Source organism: Homo sapiens, chromosome 12 (assembly GCF_000001405.40).
Source record: "Homo sapiens chromosome 12, GRCh38.p14 Primary Assembly".
Classification (NCBI taxonomy): domain Eukaryota; kingdom Metazoa; phylum Chordata; class Mammalia; order Primates; family Hominidae; genus Homo; species Homo sapiens.
Window position 1 is genome coordinate 72,870,634 of NC_000012.12, and position 6,000 is coordinate 72,876,633.

At 32.4% G+C, this 6,000-nt stretch overlaps 3 annotated features.

Annotated features, from left to right (window-relative positions):
• Window positions 1,814-2,315: an enhancer, noted in NCBI's record as "NANOG hESC enhancer chr12:73266227-73266728 (GRCh37/hg19 assembly coordinates)". NCBI's record gives its function as "activates a minimal SCP1, AML or CMV promoter by ChIP-STARR-seq in naive H9 embryonic stem cells {active_cell/tissue: H9 hESC(naive)}" and the evidence as "EXISTENCE:reporter gene assay evidence [ECO:0000049][PMID:30033119]".
• Window positions 1,814-3,101: a biological region, named in NCBI's record as "BRD4-independent group 4 enhancer GRCh37_chr12:73266315-73267514".
• Window positions 1,902-3,101: an enhancer, noted in NCBI's record as "BRD4-independent group 4 enhancer chr12:73266315-73267514 (GRCh37/hg19 assembly coordinates)". NCBI's record gives its function as "activates an origin of replication core promoter dependent on BRD2, P300/CBP, MED14 and CDK7 cofactors, and independent of BRD4, by STARR-seq in HCT116 cells {active_cell/tissue: HCT116}" and the evidence as "EXISTENCE:reporter gene assay evidence [ECO:0000049][PMID:35650434]".

The window sequence follows — 6,000 nt, forward strand, 5'->3', positions numbered from 1 at the left end:
ATCACATTCTAGTACCTGCTATAGAGATTATACCCTCATCACCTTGATTGTACTTCAGTGTTTCTGCAGTTTTCAGTCACACATTTAAAACCATACTTTTCTCATGATTAACCTCTTATTTTATGAGTATCTTATTATTCCTATATTTGTACAGTGAGTTTTATTCCTTTGAAATACAAGACCAAGCTGAGATGGCTCATTTTGAGTTGGTTCTTAATAACTATATAAGGCATAATTATTTCCATAATTAAAGAGCACCTCAGTAGTTCTTAAAGAAATTAGAAGAAAAAGTTATAAAAAAATTTATATCACTTTGTTTCTACATAGACTCTACCATTTGGTTTAAGAATTTGCCAATTGTGGAATGAAATTAGTGTGATCACAGAAGATAACACTATTTGAAAACTTCAAGTGAACGAAATGTGGTTTCAAGATGATAGATTAATAACAAAATTAAAACAAATGGTATCTTGGTAAACTTCCTTTTGGTAGCCAAACTTGGATACAAATGGTCTTTCATTTTGTAAGTTAAAGAAAATGATAAATGTGAAATGCCCACTAGTCTAATTCAAAGATCTATTGGGTCACTCATTCTGTTTTGTTTTTCAATGACTAAATAAAGAGGAATCAAAACTATATTTAGGAAAACATAAAAGACGGATTAAAGTGAAACGAATAAAAATGGAAATAACACCAAAAGGTGAAAATTCAAGGAAATTATATTATTAGGCTCCTGACTGTAAAGACATAGAGTATAATGAAGCTAATTCTTTCCAAGTGGCAATAATTTCCCAATGAGTTTATTTTGAAGTCTAACTTAAAACAAAATCACATTTGCTTTTTCTTCTGAGTTAAAACTTTTTGGATGTATTCATATTTTTCTCTGTTAACACTGTAAAGGTACAGTGAGCACACAGGATGAGTTATATGTAGAAGTGTTCAGGTTTGAAGCCTAAAGCTTTTGGCTACCGCAAGTCATTCATTAGGTTGGGATGCCATAATAAACACCCTTGAAACAGCACATTTTTCATTATATATATATATATTTCATTTTATATATATATATATATATTTCATTATATATATATATTTCATTATATATATATATTTCATTATATATATATTTATTTTTATTTTTCTCCATATATATATATTTCCTTACAAAACTGAGTTTAGACCTGTAGGCAATTGAGAGTGCATGAAAACAAAAGTATTTTTGTTTTTAGAAAGGCCATCAAATTAGTGCTAGAAGACACCCCTCCCTTTAGGCATACGTGTTCCAAGACTTTATCCCTAAAGGGTTTATTTAGGACAATATTTTGACTTCCTAGACTACCATTATGCCATTATTCCCATAGTACTGATAGGTGGAAATAGTATTAAAATGGATGTAGCTAATCAGGAAATAGGCTCTACATATTACAATAGTTCTTAAAGATATTAAAGATAATAACTTGACATGTGAAAAATTGTTATAAGAGCACTGCAACAGTAGCATAATTAAATACAATTTAGATTTGTCCTGAATCTGCCTATCAAAACTATTTGTTTGAAAATCAAGTCCTTTATATCTCTCTGAATATGCAGCAAGTTCTTTTCAGTCAGTAATACAATAGATGAATATTGTACTACTCACAGAAATCTTTAGCATTCATTAGGATTTCATTATGGAGTTAAGGAGGAAATAGAGAAAAGGAATTGCCTTCTGTCAAAAGAATTTACATGTAGTTTGCTTCAGGAGACTGATTGCTACAGAGAGAAGGGGAAGATAATGTGATTTGTTAATGATAACCAAACAGTATTGCGGACAACCTCATCATTTGTAGCTTTTATTAGATTGTCATTATTCAATGCTAAGAATACTTTGCATTTCCATTGTTACTCACACTTTCAGAGAGTCTGACATGCTTCATTCCTACAGCCCTTCTGCCTTTCAGTTGAAATAACCACTTGGAAATAAGTAGCTGTAATTAAGGTAAAGGGTGACAAATAAACATTTGCTTAAACACATACGCATATACAGAAGTTGTTCCTCTGAAAAGCTGTAATGCTCTGGGACACCTGCTGGGTAATTGTCGGTTTGATCCGGGAGGTGAGTGCAGGAATCGTCATCAGTCTTTGTTTTCCACTCTGAAAGATTTACAATTTGCATGTTATTGTTTTTGTTGGCAAAGGCATACTCATAAATCTATGAAGATCATTTAAGAGGCAAATTGAGATGGCTCAAGAGAAATGTTTTGTAAAATATAATTTGTAATTTTTTTTTTTGTAGTTTGTTTAGAGTTCAAGCCTAGAACAGTAGATTCCCAAAGCTACAGGGTCTTAAGAACTATCTGGAGATTGGAAAAGATCACTACAAATCGTAGTGACAGAGACAGGAGACAGCCAGGGGTCTCCAGGGAAACCCTGCCTTCAAGTCTACAACAGCCTGAAGGCTGAAAAACTGGACTGCTGGTTCTGGATGAAGCCCACCCTTTCCTGACTGATTCTCCCTGAGCAATGCCCACCTGCGCACTGGGAGGACAGGGTGGAGCTTCAGGAAGTTTGCGCTGGTTCGCAGTGGGGAGGAGCCTGGCCTCTTCAGTTCCTGGGTGGTGACCTGGAATTCAATCTGTGAGGCAGGAAACATGCTAGCGGGACTCTCTCTTGCTTTGCTGAGAGTTATTTTTCCATTATCCTTTTCACCCAGTAAATTCCATTTTCCTCACCCTTCTTTATGTCCGCGAGCCTTATCTTTCCTGGTCGTATGACAAGAGACTGGTTTTAGCCAAACTAAGGAGAAAATTCTGCAACGGTAGCAAGAGATAGAATCTATTACTGCCACTTCTTCCAACCCTCCAAAATGACTGTGCATTCCTACCCATTACCTTGTGATTTGCAATGCTTCCAGTGGGAGGATCATATATTCCTTCCACATTAATGGCATGTGAGCAACACTGAACAGATTTATGAACCAAAACATACCTTTATCACCTCTCTTACTCTTTTTCCTTTACCCTGAGATCAGTGTTGTCCAAGTAGAGCTTCGGTTTCTGTCTTGGTCCCAGACTTCATGGAGCAGAGAAAAGCTGTTTCCATAGTGTCTTACCTGATTTTCTAGTCAACAGTTGCCGTTTTATACCACAAAGTTCGGAGTATTTTTATGGAACAATTAATGGCAGAATATTAATTCACTTATATGTAACACTGAGCATGTATTTTAAATTTGAAATATGTTTTGTTTCTTCTGAAAACTATATTTGACAATAGTCAACTAGCCATGAACACAGAAAAATTTACAAGTACATTCCCCAGGCAGTCAGCTCAGACTGATACTGGCTCAAGGTACTGAATTTTTTTTTTTTTTCAATTTATTTTATTGTGGTGAAATGCACATAATGTAGCATTTACCCTCTTAATCATCTTAAGTGTAAAGTTCAGTCATATTAAATAATTCATACTGTTTTACAACCATCACCTCCATACATCTTTATAATTATTTTCATAATAAAACGGAAACTCCATATACATTAAACAGTAACTCCCCATTTCCTCCTTCTCTTGGCAATCATCATTATACTTTCTGTCTCTGTGATTTGGACTACTCTAGGATCTCATATAAGGGAAATCATATAGTATTTGTCTTTTTGGAAACCGGCTTATTTCACTTAGTATAATGTCCTCAAAATTAATCCATGTAGAATATGTCATAATTATACTTTTTTCTAAGGTTGAATAATATTTTATGGTATGCATATGCCACATTTGGCTTATCTAGTCATCTGTTGATGTACATCTGATTTGTTTCCACATATTAGCTATTGTGAATATTGCTGCTATGAACATGGTTATACAACTATCTCTTTGAGATCCTGTTTTCAATTTGTTTTGGTATATACTCAGAAAAGAAAATGCTAGATCATATTGTAATTTCATTTTTAATTTTTTGAGAAACTGCCATACTGTTTTTAACAGTATATATATTTTACAATCCTACCAACAGTGAACAAGTGTTCCAATTTCTCCACATCATTACCAACACTTGTTATTTTCTGCTTTTTTTTTTTTAAATACTAGCTATCCTAATGGGTGTGACGTGTTATCTCATTGTAATTTTGATTTGCATTTCCATAATAATTAGTGATGTTGAAAATCTTTTTATGTGTTTATTGGCCATTTATATATCTTCTTTGAAGAAATGTTCATTCAAATCCTTGCCTATGTTTGAATATGTTTTTTTTTGTTGTTTTCAGGAATTCCTTATATATTCTATATATCCTGTATATACATATACAGGATAAAAATTCTCTCTCTCTCTCTCTGTGTATGTATCTCAAATATTATATTTTGCAAATATTATTTTCCATTCTTCAGGTTGCCTTTTTACTCTGTTGATCTTGTCTTTAGTTACACAATTAAAACAATATGAAGTCCAATTTATCTGTATTTTTCTTTGATTGCCTGTGCCTGTGGTTTTATATCCAAAAAATCATTGCCAAATATAATATCATTAAGTTTTGCCCTATGTTTTCTTCTAAGAGTTTTATAGTTTTATGTCTTATATTTAGATTTTTGATCCATTTTGAGTTAGTTTTGCATATGGTGTTAGGTAAGTGTCTGACTTTATTATTTTGCATGTGAATATACAGTTTTCCCAGCATCATTTATTGAAAAGACTGTCCTTTCTCTATTGAATGGTTTTGGCACCCTTGTCAAAAATTATTTTTTGACATACATCTCAACATTTATTTCTAGGCTTGTATTTTATTTCCTTAGTCTACATTTCTGCCTTTATGCCAGTATCAGGCTGTTTTGATTACTATAGCTTTGTAGCAAATTTTGAAATCATGAAATGTGAGTCCTCCCACTTTGTTCTCTTTCAGTTTTTTTTTTTTTAAGATATCTGTGGTACCTTTTAATTACATATGAATTTTACAATAGATATTTCTATTTCTCCAAAAGATGTCATTGGGATTTTAATAGAAATGGCATTGAATCTGTAGATCACTTTGGGCAGTATTGACATCTGAAAAATATTAAGTCTTTCAATCAATGAATAGAAGATGTGTTTCCACTAATTTGTCTTCTTTAATTTCTCAGCAATATTTTGTTGTTTTCATTGTACAATTCTTTCATCTTATTGCCTAATTTCTAAGCTTTTATTCTTTGCGAATTCTATGCAAGTGAAATTATTTTATTATTTTTATAATTTCTTTTTCAGATTGCTCACTGTTAGTGTATAAGAATGCAATTGATTTTTGTTTGTTTAGCTGAATTCTGCTACTGTGCTCAATTCATATATAGGACTCTTTAGAGCCTCCTACATATAAGATTGTAACATCTATAAAAAGGAATTTTTTTTCTTCCTTTTCAATTTTGATGGCTTAATTTCTTTTTCTTGCCTAATTGTTCTAGCTAGAACTTCAAGTACTATGTTGAATGGAAGTGGTGAAAGCAAGGATCCTTGCTATGTTCCTGTTATGACAGTAAAACCTTTTAGCCCTTTACCATTGTATAGTATGTGGGCTTTTCATATATAGCTTTTATATGATGAGGTAGTTTTCTTTTATTCCCAGCTTATTGATAGGGTGTTAAATTGTGTCAAATGCTTTCTCAGCATCAATTGAGATGATCATGTGTTTTTCCCTATCAGTCTGTTAATGTAATGTATTACACAGATCAATTTTCATATGTTAAACCATCCTTGCATTCCAGAAATAAATCCCACTTGATCATGGTCTATAATCCTTTAAATATATTGCTGAATTTCATTTGCTAGTATTTGTTGATGATTTTGCATCAGTGTTTATAAAGGATATTGATTGGTAGTTTTCTTTTCTTGTGGTGTCTTTGTCTGACTTTGTTAGCAAGTAATGTTGGCCTCATAGTATGTGTTACAAAGTGTTTTCCCTTCTACATTTTTCGAGAAAAGTTGGAGAATTTGTGTTAGTTATTTAAATGTTAGGTAGAATTCACCAATGAAGCCATCAGATCCAGGACTTTTTTTATTACTGATTAAAT